Genomic DNA, 19,694 nt, shown 5'->3' with positions numbered 1-19,694 from the left:
TGAATACACCACCTCTCAAGCAAGTTTTCTAGACAGAACAGTGAATGAAATAATATGACCGTTTTATATTATAGAAGACAAAAACATGTACTTCCTTTTAGCTCTGGACTGGGCAACTACTGGTCCCCTCAGCAAAGATTTATCTTTCTGCATTTGCAATGAAAACATGTCCAACTCCAGGTTTGGGGATGAGGACAAATCAGCTGGTCCACGGTGGAGAAACCCTGTCACAGTAGAGTGAGTTGGTCTGGGGGTGAGGCTTGCAGTAGGAGTGTGTGTCTCAACAGACAGAGCCCCCTTGCTCCTGACTTTTCGCCACACTCTGCATCTGCTGCAGCCAAGCAGAGGGTGGCGCCTGCAGTGGTAAGAGCTCACTGCAGGTTCATGAACAGATGCTGGTTGTGTGTCATGGTAAATGGTAGGAAAACATGGACTGACTGAAGGGAGGAAGCCTGAAGAGGAATACAATTTAAGTACATGTGTTTGAGCCTGGCTGTCCTTTGCAGCCAGGAGCTAATGACACTTGTGAGCAGGAGAAGTCAGTTCAAACACATCAGTGATGAGGGCTGACAAAAAAAGGGTAAGCAGGACCCTATCCAATGTGGCCAATGGTTTACTCATAGGGGAGCCGTGGCTAACACAGCAGCTTCACGATGTAGCCGTGGGTCATGGTACATTTAATGAACTGATGGCCTGGGGGTTCCTTGCAGAGGAGAAAAAAATTCAACAGAAGGTAGTCCTAGATACAATTCCTTTATTATCATTATCATGCCCCCTAGCACATGAAGCTGGGCTTCCACCTAGATCAGCTAAGGACAGGGGTATGTTTACAATGAGAACAATTTCTCTATGCGCATTAGGTTAAGACCTCTTCTCTGTTTCTAGAATACTGTGATGACTCACATCCATGGGCCAGCTGCTTCCAGGAATCCATCTGGCCTCAACAACATTGGGCTGCCTGGAATAACGGCTGGCACTTGCACAGGGCAGGGTATGGGGAGCAGGCCTCAGGTTTATAAGCAGGACTGGGCACTGCTGAAATAGGGGAAGGGGGCAGCCAACATGTAGCAGGTTCTCCCAAGGCATGTAGAAGTTGGTGGGAAAATGGGGCTGGGGTGTGTAACTTGTCCCCTTCCAGGAAGGGACCCAGGCACCTGGTCTCCTGGCCAAGATCACAGGCGATCCAAGAGTCCTCCAGGGAAGAACAAGAACTGCACAGACGCACAGCAGAGAGGCTTTCCTGGCTGGCCATGAGCTGACCATGGTGACACGCTTCACTCCTAGCCCCCAATGGTGGAGCGAGTCGGGAATCTCGGCTGCTGCAGGTGGAGCTCAGCTGGACAGCCTGAGGTACTCATGGACCCTGAGCGTTGTGACATGTAAAGGAGGGTGGCTGCATCTTCCTTTGGTGTTTGGTCTAAAGCAGTGGTTCTCAAAGTGTGGTTCCAGGGCCAGCAGCTGCAGCTCCTGGGAACTTGTCAGAAATGCAAATGATTGGTCTTGCCCACTCCTGATGAGAAATTCTGGGGGGTGGGGCCAGCAATCTGTTTGTAAAAGCCCTTCCAGGTGATTCTGATACTCACCGAAGTTTGAGAACGACTGGTTTAGACGCTTGGTCACTATACCCTCAGTGGATGTGAGCCCGGCCCAGCATGGCCAGTATATCAAGAATGTTTTCCAGGTGGGTGACAGGGTGGGTGGTGATGACAGTGACTGTCCCAACTCACTTCTCCAGCCTCAAAACCCTGAAGAGGGCCCAAGTAGCAGATTCTGAAACAAAGCTGGCTCCAAGGCAAGAGGGCCCCGAGGCACATCACAATGATCTACCATATTCCCCCCACACCCCACAGGGCCGTGCTGGGCCCTTCTGGATGTAAACACCTCTGGCCATGCACAGCACAAGCTCCCTGACAGAAATCACACAGGGTCCACCCCAGAGCCCCAGCAATAGCAGGTGCCCCATGCAGGGGGCTAGAAAGAAGGCAGAAAAGGGCCTCACCTGAAGGGGAGGTGGTCAACACAACCCCAGGGTGCCCCTCCCTGCCCAGGGTTGCTCTGGGAGTGGGTGTGACCTGAGGGGTGACCTCCATGTGGACATGAGATTCTGCACCCTGCATGAAGGCCCTGAGGGCTGAGGGACAGTCCCTGCTCTTGCTTTGGGGTCAGTGTTTGTACCTGGGGTGACGGGCTGGGTGGTCGTCACGGGCCTTAGCCCTTTGGGCTCTTGGCCACTGCCTGAGCCCCTGCACCCAGAGGGTCCAGCTGTCAGCCTGAAATAAGCCAGGCTTCTGCACCCCCGGCCCATGTGCCATGGGTGCTGCTTTGTGACAGTGCCCCCTGAGTGACACTCTGTTCCTTAATGACAGCCTGATGGCTCCTTATGGAGATGGAGAACTGGGGGACACTGAGGGGAGGGGTTCCCGGCCCAGTTTTCTTCCTTCTCCCCAGCTGGGGGTGGCAAGACAACAGCCATGACCACTGACAAGCAAGTCTTAACTTTGCCCAGCCTTAATTTCCTTTTATAAAATGGGGGAAATAACACCCTCTTGCTGGGGTAACTGCGAGATAAGTATTTATGGTGACAGATTCTAAGTGCACAGCAGGACCTTGGTAAACACAAAAAAATCCCTGGACACACTCCCCACTTACTCTGCCTGAGGGGCTCCTGGAGATGGGGCTAGGGTGCCGGGGAAGCAGGAGGGAGAAAGACAAGAACGGTCACAAATATTCCAACCCGTCAGCCAAGGCCACGTTTCATTCTTGCCTGCTGTCCTGACACAGGTCACCCAGGGGACTCGGGGACGCGCCCTTCTCTTGGTGTCTGCCCCTGCGAGCTCAGGGAAGGGCAGCATGGAGTGTGCAGGGCAAGAACGTGCCCGTGCCAGCTGGGTGGGATCCCAGCACCTGATGCTGCTTTCCTAGGGCCCTGGTGTGCAGGGGCCTTTTGCCTGCACGGGACTGAAGGTGACATTCCACAGGCGTGTCCTCTCTCTCCAAGGAACTCAAGGCTGTAGCAGCCTCCAAACAGGGGCCCGGGAGGAATTGACCTGGGTATGGATCTGTACCCTCGTCAGCAGGAGGGGCACACCCCGCTGGGGACCACATCGTTGGCTCTGGACTCCAACCATTGTACACTCCCAGGCAGAACCTGCCGTATCCTGGGCCTCTGTTTCCTCTAACCCTGTCTCATCTCCCAGGCTGTTGGCATGGACAAGGAGGTCAGATTTCCAAGCCCTGGGTTGTTCTACCACTGTCTGCCGCTTGGACAAGCCATCTTTCAAGAGGCAGTCTGGCTGGACGACACACAGGGCAGGAATTGCAGCTAATCCTGCCCCAGTCAGGCTGGACCAACCATCCCATGGGGCTGGGGCAGATGGGGCAGGCTGTCCTGGGCCTGCCTTCAATGATAAGGCTGTGCACAGGGCACCTGCCTGTCACCTGTCTTTCATCCCCACCAGGGCAGACAGGTAAGGCCCCAGCACCCCCTGCCCACTGCCGCCTCCCCCTGGCACCTCGGCAGGAAGAACATGGCTCTAGCCCAGTACCCTCTTTCTCTCTCTCACCACTCTCCCTCTGTCGTAAGAGTTGTCAGTTGTGATCTCATCCTTCAGAGAACTTGGGAGTCATAGTCAGTTTTTGATTATCTGCATGAATCCCAGGAGGTTGGAGGGCAGCAATGCTAATCACGCACTATACCATTTCTCTCGGCCTCTGTGCAGTCTGGGATATCTGGTCTTCGTTTTAATGAATTTGCATTGGCAACCCCAGGGCCTTTTAGGCAGGGGAGATAAACCAGCCTAGGCTCCAAGAAGCCACTGGAGAACACCCAGAGAAGAGGAGGCAACCGGCCCCGAGGCTGGGCTTCCCTCTGTCCATGTGGGTACTTCCTGTGCTGAGGATGCAGTTTCTGGACAGTTCAGGGCTCTGTTGGGGTCAGCACTGGGTGGCCTTGAGGCCACTCCTATGTATGGGAGAGAGAGCACGCCTGCCCCAGGACTGGCCTAGGTCAGCAATGTGCTCATCACAGTGCAATCTGGATCAAGCAGGGAGGTGAGCTGGGACCTCGCTCAGCCTTGGCCTTAGCACAAGGTGCCCCCCTTCATGGGGGGAAGTAAGAGGGTCCCGCTCTGGGGAGAAGTGCAGGAGCTGGGGAGGGTGGAAGCCAGGTGTGGGGTTCTTGTGTAGTGAATGGGCTGCCCCTTTGTAATAGCCATTTGGGGGGGTCCCTATGGGTGTTGTACAAAAAGCTGCCAGCATGGATACTCTGTATTTTCTAGGATTTTCTTTCTGTTCTCCCTTATTACTGGGGAAAGTTCTTCCTGAAAATTCCGCAAATTCCCTGCTGAACTTAGTGATGCAAGAGAGAACCCAAGGAAAAAGCTCTGTCCACTCTAGGACAGGTGGGAAGGGAAGCAGAGCTGGACCCCCTGGAAGCAGTGTGGTGGTGGCTACGGGGTCAAGGAGAGGGCCCCAGGAAAAGTGAGGTTCAGGCAGATGCCCCTCTATTCAGAGCTGCCCCTTCTCAGCAGCTCCGACTTTGCAGGGTTGCGAGTTGGTCCACTCCAGGAGATGTTTGACACCCATCAACATTAGGTGCTGAAGATGGTCTGAAACCTGGTGTTCCTGAGAATCAGGCCCCGGAACAGGAGATTCCCGAGGGGCGTATCACTAGAGGCCAGGGCTTGGGGCCATGGTCTCCCAGGGAGGTTTCTCCCAGGAAGGCAGCTAGGCAGGTGCAGGGCTCTGCTCCTAGTGCAGCATGTGCTGGTATGGCCACCTTACCCCCTGCTTCCTGCCAGGGCGGCTCTACCCAGCCTGTGGCTGCCCTACCCAGGCCTCCCCACTCCTAGGCCCTTCAGGAAGGAATGAGGCCAGCAGGACATGGCTTTCCAGGTGAGGCAGTGTGGAGAGTGGGCAGGTCAAAGGGCAAGGTCTTCTGGGGGAAATGCCAGCCCTCCCTGCCCCACCCCATGCTTTTTCCAGAAACAGCAAGGTCAGGGCTTCTGGGCATGGGTGGGGGAATCCCGTGCTGAATGCAGGAGTGCCGGGGTTCCTGGGTTTTCTGCCGATTGTTCCAGGTTCAGGAGCTGGGAGGGAGCAGAGAACCCAACCGCCACCCTCCCGTAGTCCACGGGTGCCCCCGTTCCTGGTGAGGGGCTCTGGTTGTCTCCTGAAAGGATCATTTCCCTGCCCAGGATCTGGCCATGGGGGCTCAGAAATGGAGGAGAGGGGGCCGAGGGTCTCTGCCTGGGTGGGCACAGAAGCTATGGTCTCAGGCACTCGGTGGATTCGCAGGAGCTAGGCACAAAGGAGGGGGCATCTATGGCCCTAGTGGAGCTGGTGCTAACTCTGCAGGCCTTGCAGATGGCATGTGGCCACATGTTGTCTTGAGGGGCAGTTGGAAGAGGAGGTGGTTGGCCATTAGTAAAAATGCCGCTGGAGCCTCTGGTGCAAGCAGCAGGTGAGAACCATCCCGCAGATCTGCCAGGTGGAGAGAGCAGAGGAGCAAAGAGAAATCAGAACTCCTGGAAGCTGCCGGCCCTCAGGGCCCTGGAGCAGTGCTGCTCACTCGAATACCCTGGGGCCTGGGCAAAGGGCAGATTCCTGCTCAAAACTGCTCAAAATGTCAGGGTGGGACCTGAGGTTCTGCATTTCTGACAAGCTCCCAGGTGATGGTGGTGTGCCTGGGGGAACCACATTCTGCCATCTACTATCCAAGAGCAGGGCTTTGCACACTTTAATGGGCATGAATCATCTGGGGACCTCCTTATTACAATTCTTCAGGCCTAGTGGCGGCCTGAGAGTCTGCATTCCTAGCAAGCTCCCAGTTGATGCTGCTGGTCTGTGGTCCTAGATCTTCTCCAGAGATGGCCTGATTTAATTAGGCCCTAAGAGTAATGTTTCCACTCCCTCATCAGAGCTGTCTGAAGTGGACTGTCTCTCTAGGAAAGAGTCTGCCTGTGTTTTGCTGTCCTTAGACTCTAGAGCAAAACTCAGGTCCATCTTCGATGCTCTGGCTGGTGTACAGGAGCCATGGGGGAAACTGAGACTCTGGGAAGAGCCTCCTGAGCTGTCACCCTGTCAGTCAGCATAGAATAAGAGCTGGTGAGCTCACCCTGTCAATCAGTGTAGAATGCAGCACCAAGCTCAGGCCCCAGGCGTCCTGTCTGCCAGCCCTTCTGTCGGTATCCACAGCTGAACAAGGGGCTGGAGCATCTGGTCCAAAGCAGACACAGGCCTGGGAGGATCACCCTGCACACCGCCTTCTCACTTCTCCCACTTCCAGAATGCAGAGGAGCTTTATTCTCCCTCCTTGCTCTTCATGGGCCCTCCTCTGCCTTCTTCCTCCTCTTCCTCTCCTCCCTCCCACCCAAGGATGCATTGAGGGTAATGTGATTATGATCCTGATAATGATGATGACATGTTGTTGGATCTTGGCTCTCTGCACACAGGAGGGGGCACTGGGCTAAAGCAGCCCCATGACTGTCCCGTGATACCTGGGGTGAAGGTGGCTCTCCTAAGTATTGAAACAGTGTCCTGACTTTCCTAGCAGCTGCTGCTGCCCTGACCTTGCCGGTGCAAACCTGGATGCAGGTGGAGCTCTATCCAGTGGGAGGAGAGCAGGCTGGTGGAGATGCGTGTGTCCTGTACTGTCTCTGACAGCTAGCTGGGGGAGGTAGTGTGGAAGGGGCCCATCCTCTTCCCCTCCTTCCTCCTCTCCATCCCTCCCAACCTGGAGGACAGCGTGGAGTGTGAACACTGCTTTCAGCCTGCAGACTTGGTGTTAATCCACCTGGGGCCTCAGGCTGAAAGGCGGCTTAGGAGGTTATCTCATCTCCCGCTAGCTTTACGCAGGCGGCCGTCATGCCGTTCCACCCATGCAGGTTTCCCTACCTCATGGTTTGATGATTTTCCTGTGGGATTTTCTGGATCTTATCTGTGCTAAGAGGGAGGCCAGAAGGGAGCTGTTTGACCGGCACAGGTTTGTGCTGGAAACCATGTCTGCATCGCCTGCAATGTACGTCTCCTGCTGGGGGAGGACTGGAGGGGCCACACTCCCCAGCAGACAGGCTCCTGCGTGAGCTGGGTGTTCCCAGCGAGCCTCCCAGGACAGGCACAGTAAGGGGCAGAGGTGTGTGGGCCAGACCCTCATCACTGCGTCCACATGCACACACACACACTTGCACACACACACACACGTGAACACCACGCTGAAGCATGTGGAGGGTACAGGATGCCACCCAGTCTGGTTCCTGAATAGGCATTGCCATCTCCCTCCTGACAGAGGACACTGAGAAACCAGCACGGATGGCTCCAGCAGCCAACAGGGGGCACACAGAGACAACACAAGGCCAGCTAACCGCAGGTGCTGGAGGTGGCAGATGGGGTTGGGCCCGGCTTGGAGGCCCAGCCACATGGTGCCTGGTGCTATCTTCTGGCAGCTGCCTGTGTGTGACACTTGGCCACACATGGGACATTTTTAACAGGGAGGCCGTCCTGCCTTCAGCTTCCTCTGAGGCTTCTGAGTCAGCACCTGGCTGTCAGCAGAGAGCATGAAGGAAGGGCCACAGAGCTTCTGAGAAGTCATTCCAAAATGATTGGTTTCCCTTTTAATGACCTGCAGATCCCAGTCTTGACTGTCTTGTGTTTTCCATGTTCTGAGACATGTTACCATCTTGCAAGCTGAGCATGTTGGAGGTGGGCTAGGTTCTACTTGAGGCTGCACCAGTGGCCTGTGTGATCTTGGGTAAAGTTACCTCCCTCTCTGAGCCTCAAATCCCCCTCTGCCAATAGGAAAACATCCGGTCTGTACACTGGTCTAGGGTCTTCCTTGGCAAGATTCTTTAAAAACTAGAATAACAAGAACCAACAGCACAGCACCCAGTCCTTCCAACACCCCAATCCTTTGAGAGGCCAGGCAGGATAAAGACCCCCGCTCCCCACCTGCAAGCCAGGGCTTTGCACACGCTATTCCCTCACCCTGGCTCTTTCCCCTCTGTCATTGCCTATCGGGCTCCTTCAGGACTTAATGAGATATCACTTCCTCCAGGAAGCCTTCCCTGACCTCCCGTGACTGGTTAGGGCCACTGATGTTTGCTTCTTAAACCCAAGGACTCCTGCTAACACAGCACCTAGCACTGCACTGTGACTGCCATACACTTACCTGTCCCCTTCCTTCAAGTAAAATCTCCCTGGGAGAAGGGACGGCACTCTGCCTGCAATGTGGCCCTGGCACTGGGCACAGCACCTGGCACACAGCAGCTCTGTTCCAAAGTAAACACAGCCTCCTCTGCCGGCCCCCTGGGCGGAGGCTCCCAGGACGCTGATGTGAGGAGGGCTGCAGGAAAAGGGCTGGGCTACTGTGACATTTTTAGTGAAATGTTCCCCAGCCAGAATATTCTAGAAATTAGCTTCTAAAGTTACCTCAAAGTGGAGTGCCTCCAGATTCCACCCACAAGAGGGGAAGCTGGTGCAGAGGAAGCAGGCCTGTGAGCTGGAGGCCTGGCCAGCTCTGCCACAGCGGCTGTGTCACCTTCAGCAGGTGACTTTCTGGTGAGGCTTGATGTCTTCAGATGTGCATGAATAAGATGAGCCCGGGGACTCTGAACCCCGAATGTATGTTTGACCCAGCTGGGAGGCTTAAAAATACCCGTGCACAGACCTCAGCCCACTCCAGACAATCCAAGCCAGTCTGTGGAGGGGGTGCCAGAGCAATGTGTGTGTGGTTTTTTTTTTGTTTTGTTTTTTAGATGGAGTCTTGCTTTGTCGCCCAGGGTTGAAGTGTAGTGGCACAATCTTGGCTCACTGTAACCTCCACCTCCCGGGTTCAAGCAATTCTCCTGCCTCAGCCTCCCGAGTAGCTGGGATTACAGGCGCGTACCACCACGCCCAGCTAATTTTTTGTATTTTTAGTACAGACAGGGTTTCACCTTGTTAGCCAGGCTGGACTCAATCTCCTGACCTTGTGATCCCCCTGCCTCCGCCTCCCAAGTGCTGGGATTACAGGCGTGAGCCACTGCACCTGGCCACAATGGTATTTAAACAACTCTACTCTAGCATGCAGCCAGGGCCGGTGGCTCTGGTCCAGGTAGTCTGTAAGGCCTTTCCAGGTGGAAGAGTCTGATCGGGTGGTACCTCAGCACTGTGATGATCCTGTCCAGGTCTGAAACTGCCTCTGGTGTGCTGTTCCATGACTGAGGTGGGTGAGAAGCCTGGGGGGCCCCTGCTGAGGGGATAGGTGCACTCCCGGAATGCAGAACTTCAGCATGGAGGGGCCTCTGCCGATCAAGTGCAGGGGATTCTCCCTTCAGCATCCCTGCCGGCCCCCAGCCTCTGCCCCAGCCTGCAGCCGCAGGGAGTTTAGTACTCTGCAAGGGCCACTGTTTAGCAATTCAAATTGTTAAAAAGTTCTTGAATGTGTCTCCTGAAAATAATTCCACCTACTGTTCCCCTTCTGTCCTCTGGAACCTCCCAGGAACAGTCCCTCCTTTCCCCACATGACTGCCTTGGGCATTTCAAGACCACGAGGGTGCTGCATCTGCTCCCCATCTCCTGACCTCTCTCACATCTGACTTCTGGGCCCCACACTCCCCTTGCCACTCCCTCTGCATCTGGCCGCATAGTGGCATCACTAGAGAGCTTCACGAATACACTGATGCCCAGGTGCCAGCCCCAGACCATTTTGTTTCATTTTGCTGCGGGGAGCCCAGGCCTGGGGTATTTTTTTTTTCTTTGAGACGGAGTCTCACTCTGTCGCCCTGGAGTGCAGTGGCATGATCTAGGCTCACTGCAACCTCCGCCTCCTGGGTTCAAGCGTTTCTCCCGCCTTAGCCTTCTGAGTAGCTGGGATTACAGGCGCGCGCCTCCATGCCCAGCTAATTTTTGTATTTTTAGTAGAGACGGGGTTTCACCATGTTGGCCAGAATGGTCTTGATCTCTTAAGTTCATGATCCACCTGACTCGGCCTCCCAAAGTGCTGGGATTACAGGCCTGGGGTAGTTTTAAAGCTTGTCAGGTGATCCCACTGTGCAGCCAAGGTTGAGGACCACTGCCCTGGGGCTCTGCGGAGGTCTGGTCCCACCTGGAGGGTGGCCTGAGCTGGCACCTCCCACACCCTGACTCTCTCCATGATTTCTACCAGTGCAGTTCCAGGCCACATCTTTGTGGGCAGCACCCTATCATGTAACTCAGGCAGATGCCCTCTCTCTGTTACAGGCTTAAGTGCAAAACAAAACAAAGCTCAAGTGCAAGGACTTTAACTCTATTAAAGGTTTTACCCTTCGTTTCAGCACATCTTCATATCCAACGAGCTCTTTTTTCAATGCTGGCTTTATCATACAACAGACCAGAAATGCTAGGTAAATAGTTTAGCATGCTTCCTGGGTCTTCGTTGAGATCACCAAGAAAAATGAAGAGACAGGTCTGAGGCTGAAGGCCACGGCCCGCTCCTGGAGACTTTTCGCTAAGCTGATGTGAACTCTCATCTCTCTCTCACAGCGTGGCCATCCAGCCTGCCCTGATTTCTCCTGAGCATACAAGTGCCTGGTCCACACGTCCACAAGGTAACAAGGAATGCATTGCCAAATACCTGGCTGAAATCAAGGTGTGCTCCCTTCATTAAATATTCTGCTTAGTTTTCAGTGTTCACAAACCATCTGCTTTAACACTCCAGGTGTTGCAGGACATCAGTCTCAAGGTCACTGGTTCCTGCGATGGGAACCTTACTGAAAAATCATAGAACACCAGATCCAGAAGGTTCCATAGAAATGGGCTAGACCCACAGCTTTCAAGCTGTATTGGAAACCCTTAGTGTAGCTCAGGGCCACCAAGGGCAGTGAGGGGAGGCCGTCATGCTAGGCTTGTCCCTGCCTGAAACAGCTCCACCTCCTATGGTTTATGTACTGGGCTCCTACGTGATATTTCCATTGAAAAGAGGATGCTGCTACTTAAAAAAGGCTCACAAATATCCAATCTGTCCATTTTACAGGTAAGGACACTAAGGGCTCAGAGACGGAATGAGATTTCCCTGAGGTAACACAGCAAGAGGTGGGGCTATGTTTAGAAATCAGGCCCTGTAACTCCCAAGCAAGATTTCTTGCAGTAGCTGGGGGCTGGGGAACATTATGACACCATGTTGGACTGATATTTCCTGAGCCTTGGGGGTCTTGGAAGTGCCAGGCTGGGTATGTAGGGGAGATAAATGCCTGGTGTCTGCTCTCTAGGAGGTAAACTATGACCCTGGGGAAGAGACTGGTATGAGCCCTTTCTCAAAGCTTAGGACCCACCTGGGACTTGAGCAGTGTAGTGCCCAGCGTCAGCTGGCAGAGGGAGCCCTAACCCGAGGCTTGGCCGCTCCTGGGCTGGCTCAGTGGGCCACAGCAGAGAAAACTGGGCAAGAGGTTGAGAGCCACCAAAAGCCATTCCATAGCAACGGCGAAGGAACAGACTGCATGGTGGGGGTTTTGAGTGGGCAGGAGGAGTGGCAGGCCTGCAGGTGCACTGCTCAACAACCTGACCTCTTCAATATCAGACTTATGCAGCTGTGCGGTTTACCTTGACCGTCGGCTCTGGGCATCCGCAGTCCTGCTCCCTGCCCTCAGCCTCACTGCCCTCGTCTGCAGCTTCTACAGGCTCTCAAGGCCAGAGAGGTGAAGAAGAAATGGACAGAGTGGCCCAGGCCTGGTCTGTGTCCATACAGAGCAGGCCCCCTCAACACCTGGAGTAACAGGTTTCTGGAGAGTTCAACTGCTCTGTGCTGCTGAGCGTACCTTCTCCTGTTCCCACTGACTACTCCTCTGGGGTTCAGCACACAGGACAGAAGGCCTGCCCTGGGGAAGTGCAATAGAGGGGCAATGCTCATGCCACCTGGGCTCCCTGGCCCTGCAGCTGAGTGAGAATGATGGGGAGCAGGCTGGTCTGGCCAAGGAACAGCTAGAGCTTTTTTTTTGAGAGACAACGTACTAATGCAGAAATCATAAAAATGATGGGTATCATTTATTGAACACCTGCTATCTGCTCAGCCATGAGCCAAGTGACTTACATGGATATTGCTAATTCCCACCACCAGGCAAGCAGATAAGGTATAACTAGCCCCATTTTACAAATGAGTAACTGAGACTCAGAGATGAAAGAACTGGCCCTAGGTCCACAGCTGTAGATGGCAGAACCAAGATGGGGGTCCCTCCAGAGGCGACGGACCCTCCTCCCAGTGTGTTAGGCTGCAGCTAGACCTTCCAGGCCCACAGATGATGTGGGTAGGTGGCACCATGGTTTCCAAGGACCCTGCACTGGAAGTATCTCCAAGCCAGCCAAGGCCACTGTCCCCTGCTTCTCTTTCCCACAGATCTGTGTGTCATGGTAGGGAGTTCGGGAAAGCAAAGAACCAAAGCCAGGAGACCTGGGTGCTGGTTCAGGGTGTGAGGCCCTGGGTAAGTCACCTCTCTGGGTCTCAACTTTCTGATCTGTAAAATGTGGAGAACAGCTGGGTGCCATGGCTCATGCCTATAATTCCAGCACTTTGGGAGACTGGGGTGGGCAGATCACCTGAGGTCAAGAGTTCGAGACCAGCCTGGACAACATGGTGAAACCTCAGCCTCTACTAAAAATACAAAACTAGGCGGCGTGGTGGTGGGCACCTGTAATCCCAGCTACTTGGGAGGCTGAGGCAGGAGAATTGCTTGAACCTGGGAGGCGGAGGTTGCAGTGAGCTGAGGTGGCACCACTGCACTCCAGCCTGGGCAACAGAGTGAGACTGTCGCGCAAAAAAAAAAAAAAAAAAAAAAAAGCAAAAAGCGAAGAACACTACTCCTTGTCTGGCCTGGGTCTCAGGTTGTTGTGTGGACCCAATGAGAGGAAGCATCAGAAATCCTCTGAAGTCTACAGAAAACTGGAGAAAGACAGCTTCCAATTCTGGAGGCCTTCCTATGTGCCAGGTACTTCGTAAGTGGGTTGCAGGCATCGCCTCATTCTTAGACCTTAAGAGCTGGGGAAATGGTCCACATTTTGCAGATGAAGAAGTCAATGGACAGGGAAGTTAGGTAGCTCAAGGTTACCTAGGAGCAAAGCCAGGACTGGAACTGGGCCTTCTGAGGCCAAAGCCTCTGCTCCTCCCCTTCTCTAGATGGTGCTTAGCCCTGGAGTGGGAAGGGCTGTGCAGGACAGCAAGACTCCTAGAAGGACAGCCCACACTCAGCTCCTGCTGAGCGGAAGCAGGCGTGTTCGTGAGCTGGGGACTGCAGGGGCCCTTGCCGCTGAGGAGGCCTTCCTGGCTCCCCTCCTTCGGACCCTTGACTAGAGTAACCCAAGAGTGTCACCCTGACTTCCTGGGTGGCAGCTAGGGGAGAGGGTACAGGGAGAAATGGGAGCTAAAGGCATTGCTCATCCTCAGGGAGACAGCTGGATGAGGGCACACACACACACAGTCACTGCCCTGGACACCAAAATCCATGGATGCTCAATTCCTGATATAAAATGGTGCAATATTTGCATATAACCTATGCACATTCTCCCCTATATAATACCTTAACTCATCTCTAGACTACTTATACTACCTCATACAGTGTAAATGCTACGTAAACAGTCGATATATCGCATTACCCAGGGAATGATGACAAGGTTGTTCAGTACAGATGCAATCATCCATTTTTTGGAATATTTTTCATCTACAGTTGGTTGAATTCACGGATGCAGAACCCACGGACATGGAGGACTGACTATACACACACACAAACACACATGCACACACAAAGGAATGAATGCAGATACGTGCACACTCACACACACATGCACAAGCACCCCTAAACACATATACGTGCATACAACCCCAACCACATGGACCCAGAAGCATGCAGACACACGTACCACAGATGGCTTGCACGCTCACCCCCACGTGCACACACATGGGGTGCATGCACATACCTGAGCCCACACTCACACTCCGCCCAGGTCCCTGTTCCTGACAAGTTCATGTTGTCCCCAGCTATTTTCCTTCATGTTCTCTGGGGGAGAGACTGACCGTGGGATTCAGCCTTGGTTGCAGAGGGAAGGGGAGAGAAGAAGAGAGCAGGGTAGGGTGCGGGTGTGCAAAGGGTCAGTTATTTCAGCCCAGGTGGTTACTGAAGACCTGTGTCAATGGGAGAGGGGTTCAGAGCCCTTCCACCCCCACCAGTCCCCGCACTGCAACTCACCTGCAGGCAGGCCACCCCGATGCCCACTGCCCCCATAAGCAGCAGGTGGTCGGCCAGGAACTGCTCCAGCTTGGTGAGGCAGCCTCCCTGTAAGAGAAGGGCAGGTGATGCGGCCATGGCCCAGGAGCAGGCATGGGTGGGGACGGAGGGCGGGCTGTCACTGCAGCAGAGGCTGAGGACTGGCCAGAGGACTCACAGGCTGGACCCAACCTTGAATTGCTCACAGGCTACTTGAGTGGCCCCAGGGGCATGCCATGGTGTCCTATACTCTCCGGTATGAGCTGCTTGTCCCAGGGCTTTGTAGAGACTCTGGAAAGCCCCAGACACTGTGGGCTCGTGGCCAAGGAGCACATGTGTCCTGCTTTTCCCACACCCACCTGCCTGACCCAGCCTTTCTGGGGCTCCTGAACGGCCAGGCCAGGGCCCTCTCCTCACCCCCAACTTGAGCTTGGGTGCTCACCTCCACCTTATAGATGTTGGAGGGGTGGGCCCGCTGGCCGCAGCGCACCACCACTGTCTTGCAGCAGCTGTCGGGCACCTGGCGGCCCTCGGCCTCCCGCAACAGGATGTACGTGCTGTGCTGCCAGTCGGCTGAGCTGTTGCTTCCACAGCACTTGAACTGGAGGCAGAGGCAGAGGCAGAGGCTGGAGGTGAGAGGCCTGCGTAGGGTCCCAGGCTGCAGGACACATTATTCAAATACTAACCCAACCCCTATTTGTCTACCCGAACCATGGTTAGTTAGTATTTGTATAATGTGTTTTCCCTTCCCATGCTTTGAGCAGAGAGCTGGTCACGCCAGGGCCCTTCTCAGACTCATTGCTGAATGGCCTGCAGGATACCTGCTTGCCAGCTTTTTAGCCACCCAAGTCCTTTAAGGAGATTATGCTGGGTGTCTTGGGGGCAGGACGGGTCTGCGAGGTGGGTCCCCAGAGAGTGAGGCTGTGTACCACTGGGTGGCAGAGCCCAGGGTGGACAAAACCACAAGGCAGGGGAGTTTCCTGGTCACCCAGGGGTCAGGACGTGGGGACAGAGATCTAGCCTGGTCAGAGGCTCCCAGGCCCCCATTCAGGCTTTGAAGTCTCAGAGCCCCAGACCCGCCCATGGCACTGGGAGACCAGTGTCAACCAGAGGGGCTGTCATGAGTGCTAAGACCTGGGGTCATCTGTACCACCCCAGGGCAGGGAAGCACCAGCCCAGATATAAAATGATTCCAAGACAGTGGACATGGGTTGCTTCTTGCCTTTCCCAGTTGCGGCACTGAGATTCAAAGTTCCTACACAGGAGAGAGAACAGGGCTGCTGTGAGGCTGTCGCTGGTGTATGTCTGGAGGTGGGTGGGGTGGAGGTATGTTTAGTTCAGCTAACAAGAGTTTGCTAGGCAGCTACTATGTGCCTGGAGCGAAGAAACTTGAGTAAGGCATGGGGCCTACCCTTGGGTAGCTTAGCATCCACTGTCGCGTGGTAGAAGATGACAGAAGCTTGTGTGTGGCACAGAGGAGGAAGGGGTTAATGCTCTGTCCAGGGCCAGGAACAATCCACAGGGATGAACAGGGGCCCCCGGAGTCGAGGAGAGCATGACAGCACACAGAGCAGGGACTGGCACAGCGCGCAGAAGGAGTCACGCGGGAACTGCACATTCCACGTGACTCTGCTGGTCTGTGCTGGTGCCACCTGATGGCTGTGTCATTTGTAAAATGCAGACAACAAAAGTACCTCCATGCCATGCTGTTGTAAGGACTGAAAGAGGTGATTCATATAAAGCACTTAGAAGAGAGCCCGGCGCCATCAGTGGTGAAGGAGAGACACCTGCTTCCACCATCACGCTTGTGTGAATACAGCTTTGTGTGTCTCTGTCATTTACATCCACGTGCTGCTGCTGGAGGGCCGGGTGCTGGCCCTGGCTCTGCAGCCACTGCTTTCTCAGGGCTGTCTCCTGCCTGAGATGTGGCCTGGGGTTCTAAGTGTTTCTGGCCTGTGTGAGGGCCGTGTCCACATGCACAGACACCCTGCAGGTCTTCGTCAGTGACACAGCCTTCGCTGTCAGTTGTGCCTTTCCTCATCTGCCCCTGGCCCTGACCTGCCACTCCCACCCTCTTCACTTAAGCAAACCCCGCCTCTGCCCCATGGAACCCTCCCAACCTGCGCTGCTCTCTCTTCTGAGGGTGGCCCAGCCTTGCACTGCATGCACATCGCCTGCTGTGTGTCCAGCTTCCCCGAGGGCAGGGATCCTGTCCTGTTCCTCTTTGTCTAGCACATTTCCTCACAGGTGAGGCCCAGTGAGTGGAGTGCACACTTAGTTTTGCACAGGGCTGGCCAGCAGTGTGTGCTGCCTCCTCCTGGTCCTGAGCTAAGCCCATGGGGTGCGAGTGTGTCTGTGGGTGTGCACTTGTGTGTACATGCGTGTCCCGGGCCACTATTTCAGAGAAGAGACGACTCCCTGAAGCACCCACTGGGAGCTGGGCCTGAGTCTTGGAGAGATGGGGAGGGGCCTTCCAGTTGATCCATGACGCCGCTGGGGCTCACAGCTCCCCACATCTACTACCTCTACTTGCCTGACGTTCCGGAGCCAAGACCAAGCCAGGTCCAGGGGGTGGGGGTGGGGAGTGGGGTGGCAGAGAGAAAGGGGACCAGAGTGGGCAGGTGGCACTGCCTTGAATTTTCTGACACGGACACATCCGGATCCTAGAGCAGTGCTGTCCAGGAGAACGTTCTGCAATGAAGGCAGCATCCTACATCTGTGCTGTCTGATCAGAGCTCACTAGACACACGGGCTAATGAGCACTAGAAATGTGGTTGGTGTAACTGAGGAACTGAATGTTGTATTTAATTGAGCTGAAAATAGCCACATGTGGGTGGTGACTACCGTATTGAACAGGACAGCTCTGAGGTCCATTTGCCCATCCCTTATGTCTGGTCAGGCCAGTGGGTGTCCCTGGAGGGATTTGCTGCATGTCTTCTTAGGAGAAAACCTTTCTGTCCCCCAGCATTCTGTCTGATGGCTCACACTGGAGGGTTCTTGCGGCAGCTTAACTGAAATACCTCCGCTGGTTACAGCTCACTCTTACGGAGTCACAGCAGCCAGCTCCCCGGGGAAGGAGGAAGGCAGCCCCACGGATATAAGCAGCCTGGAGAGGAGCTTCCTGGCCCAGATCCTGGCAGGAGATGGAGTTCTCCTGGCACAGCCGGCTTCCTGGCCACAGAGGCCCCAGAACGGGAAGGCAGCAGGGGTGGGGCCTGGAGGAGGTGGTCGGGGAAGGAGAGGAACCAGGCTTCAACAGGTAGTTTTCATGGCAGTGGGGACATCTAGAGATGTGGCCAGGTTTAATGCTCATGTGCCCTAAAGAGGCTTCATTTTAAGGATGTGACATTTGAAGCTCAGAGAGGGTAAGTAACTTGCCTAGGGTCACCCAGAAAGGAAAGAACAGTCGGGATTTGAATCCTTGTGGGCTTGGCCTTCAAGGCCATATGGGGCATGGCTTACATCCTGCTGGAGTCGGTCCACTGAGGCGGTGATCTGCGTGGCTCCGGGCTGCCCGTAGTTCTCAGCCAGAGTCCGGTTCAAGTGCTGCTTCAGTTCATCACTCAGCTGAGGAGGGTAGGAGCGAAGTCCCCATCAGCGGGACCAGCCCCACCCCTGCCCTGGCACCGGGCCCACTTCCAACTCCCCCCAGCTAATTCTAGAACACTGCGGACTGTGGATGGTGTGATGCGGAGGTTTCTCAACAGCGTAAGGGACCATCAGCCAGAGACAGTGTAGAAGATGGCTATGGAGAGGAAGACACAAAAACTGAGCCCCAACTTAGGGCAGAGGTGTGATGGGCAGAGCTGAGAGAGGCTGGGGAGATGGCTCAGGTAAAGGGTCACATCCAGAAGCTGGTGGGAGGCGGTGGTGAGGCCAGACACAGGGTGCTTTGAAATGTCTGTTGATCTTAACTGTGATCATGAGGTGATATTGAAAATACTTATAATTGTTACCCTGTGGGCATCATAGCAGCACTGGCTTGAAACAACCAGCAGGGTCGCACTGTCTCTACCAGCCAAACATCACCATGGTCATGACCTCGAATCCCCGATTCAGAGGGCTCAAGGGTGGGAGTGGATAGGACTGACTCTAGGACTCACTCCATCCTTGCTTAATCCAGGCAGGCAAGGCCCGATCCTGTTTCGGGGTCTGGCATGTGACCCTGGCCCAGGCCTTTCTTCTTGGATGTCTCTGACAGATGGATTCATCCTCTAGACCATTCTTGGAAGGGGAGAGGGATGACGCAATGTCCCTTGGGAAGCCCCCGTCCCCAGCTCCCATGTGGAAGACATCAGCATCCACAGATGCAGCACAGAATTGCTGGAGCCAGGACCAGCAGCTGGGATGCAGATATGTAGGGGGATTGCCGGGGCCTGGGAAACAGGACCGCCCTTGTGCCTTCCTCAGCTTCCCTCATCACAATGCAAACCTCCCTACCCACATTGCTTCTTCAGGACACTGACAGAGGATGCAGGAGGAGGAAACGTCACTTACCCTCTGGTAATACACATGGGCCAGGACTCCCGCCACCAGCTCAACCAGGAAGATGACGAGCAACAGGCAGAAATACTAGCAGCAAAGAGAGAGGACGGTCACCACTGGGATCGGGTTGCTGCTATGACAAATGTTTCCCCACAGTGGTGGGGGTGGTAGAGATACCTGCTGGGACCCCTATCATCCATGCCATCTTCCTCCTGGATGTACCAGCCTCACTGGCTGCTGGCACCAAGTTCCCCACTTACTCCTTCCCTCTTTGGTCTGCTGACAATTCAGTACGGCATGTACCCATCCAATATGTATTAAATACATGCCATATGCCAGATGCCAGGTAGCGTAAGTAAGACAACTATTGCTCTCAAAGTTATTGATGGTGGGAAGACAGATGAGTGACTGCAATGCTGTGTTACAAATGCAACTACAGGGTAAGCTCTAGAAATGGTGGGAGGCTCCTGGTAGGGTGGGCAGTCAGAGAAGGCTTCCTGGAGGTGGTGACGCCTAAGTAACATCTTTAAGGACTGAATAGGCATTTGCTAAGTGAAGGAGGGAGGCACATTCCAGGAAGAGGGGAGAACAAGTGAAAAGCCTGGAGCCTGCAGGAAGCATGGGGCATTTGTGTTCAGGGAGTGGAGAGTGCCCTTGTAGTTGGAATGCAGGGACCAGCGTGGACTGTGACAACCAAGGCTCAGGAAAAAGCAAATCAGAGGTCCAGGGGAAGGTGATTCCTGTGTTGTCTTTCAGCCCTGATGCCCATTTCCTGTTCTACATGGCCCTGCAGGGGTTCTCATTACTGCTTCTCCCACCTCACAGCCCTGTTGCTGCTGCTGGCTTCCCAGCCGTGCATTCAGTGTGACCTGTAGAAGGACATGGGCCCTGCTTCCTTCTCACTCCCACCTGGCTTGCACAGTCAGGAGGGCTCCTGAGACCCTGCTCGACCAACTCTGCTTGCAGGAGCCAACAGGCCTAGAAGGCATGTTGGGACTCCCTCTC

General features: G+C 54.7%; 1 protein-coding gene and 1 long non-coding RNA gene across 9 annotated transcripts in view, besides 6 other annotated features; one reads left to right on the top strand and one right to left on the bottom strand.

Moving 5' to 3' along the window:
- TSPAN11-AS1 (TSPAN11 antisense RNA 1) overlaps window positions 1–19,029 on the top strand; it is a 27,665-nt gene extending 8,636 nt beyond the window's left edge. The window contains exons 1-2 of one of the 3 annotated variants that reach the window (XR_007063263.1): window positions 5,480–10,562; window positions 18,662–19,029. This is a non-coding gene — a long non-coding RNA (TSPAN11 antisense RNA 1). Of the gene's footprint in view, window positions 1–5,479; window positions 10,604–18,661 lie in introns of those variants that run through there. The other 2 variants (XR_007063262.1, XR_007063261.1) reach the window with 2 other exon arrangements.
- The window catches only part of TSPAN11 (tetraspanin 11), an 89,755-nt gene that overhangs the window by 19,166 nt on the left and 50,895 nt on the right, over window positions 1–19,694 (bottom strand). For 3 of the 6 annotated variants that reach the window (NM_001370302.1, NM_001080509.3, NM_001370301.1), the window contains 5 exons: window positions 18,702–18,776; window positions 17,667–17,771; window positions 14,647–14,805; window positions 14,187–14,273; window positions 738–5,481 (listed from right to left, as the gene is read on the bottom strand). In NM_001370302.1, the coding sequence (NP_001357231.1) occupies window positions 5,422–5,481; window positions 14,187–14,273; window positions 14,647–14,805; window positions 17,667–17,771; window positions 18,702–18,776 (486 nt within the window). In that variant the 3' untranslated portion in view covers window positions 738–5,421. Of the gene's footprint in view, window positions 1–737; window positions 5,482–14,186; window positions 14,274–14,646; window positions 14,806–17,666; window positions 17,772–18,701; window positions 18,777–19,694 lie in introns of those variants that run through there. The other 3 variants (XR_001748709.2, XR_001748710.2, XM_011520679.3) reach the window with 1 other exon arrangement.
- Window positions 8,732–9,231: an enhancer, noted in NCBI's record as "H3K4me1 hESC enhancer chr12:31141041-31141540 (GRCh37/hg19 assembly coordinates)". NCBI's record gives its function as "activates a minimal SCP1, AML or CMV promoter by ChIP-STARR-seq in naive H9 embryonic stem cells {active_cell/tissue: H9 hESC(naive)}" and the evidence as "EXISTENCE:reporter gene assay evidence [ECO:0000049][PMID:30033119]".
- Window positions 9,232–9,733: an enhancer, noted in NCBI's record as "H3K4me1 hESC enhancer chr12:31140539-31141040 (GRCh37/hg19 assembly coordinates)". NCBI's record gives its function as "activates a minimal SCP1, AML or CMV promoter by ChIP-STARR-seq in naive H9 embryonic stem cells {active_cell/tissue: H9 hESC(naive)}" and the evidence as "EXISTENCE:reporter gene assay evidence [ECO:0000049][PMID:30033119]".
- Window positions 11,193–11,242: an enhancer, noted in NCBI's record as "active region_6161". NCBI's record gives its function as "activates an Ori minimal core promoter by ATAC-STARR-seq in GM12878 lymphoblastoid cells {active_cell/tissue: GM12878}" and the evidence as "EXISTENCE:reporter gene assay evidence [ECO:0000049][PMID:35858748]".
- Window positions 15,764–16,263: an enhancer, noted in NCBI's record as "H3K4me1 hESC enhancer chr12:31134009-31134508 (GRCh37/hg19 assembly coordinates)". NCBI's record gives its function as "activates a minimal SCP1, AML or CMV promoter by ChIP-STARR-seq in naive H9 embryonic stem cells {active_cell/tissue: H9 hESC(naive)}" and the evidence as "EXISTENCE:reporter gene assay evidence [ECO:0000049][PMID:30033119]".
- Window positions 16,264–16,765: an enhancer, noted in NCBI's record as "H3K4me1 hESC enhancer chr12:31133507-31134008 (GRCh37/hg19 assembly coordinates)". NCBI's record gives its function as "activates a minimal SCP1, AML or CMV promoter by ChIP-STARR-seq in naive H9 embryonic stem cells {active_cell/tissue: H9 hESC(naive)}" and the evidence as "EXISTENCE:reporter gene assay evidence [ECO:0000049][PMID:30033119]".
- Window positions 18,860–19,694: an enhancer, noted in NCBI's record as "H3K27ac-H3K4me1 hESC enhancer chr12:31130578-31131412 (GRCh37/hg19 assembly coordinates)". NCBI's record gives its function as "activates a minimal SCP1, AML or CMV promoter by ChIP-STARR-seq in naive H9 embryonic stem cells {active_cell/tissue: H9 hESC(naive)}" and the evidence as "EXISTENCE:reporter gene assay evidence [ECO:0000049][PMID:30033119]".

The sequence above is a fragment of the Homo sapiens genome, chromosome 12 (genome assembly GCF_000001405.40).
Source record: "Homo sapiens chromosome 12, GRCh38.p14 Primary Assembly".
NCBI classification, from domain to species: Eukaryota; Metazoa; Chordata; class Mammalia; order Primates; family Hominidae; genus Homo; species Homo sapiens.
This window is presented reverse-complemented; position numbering and strand designations above follow the sequence as displayed.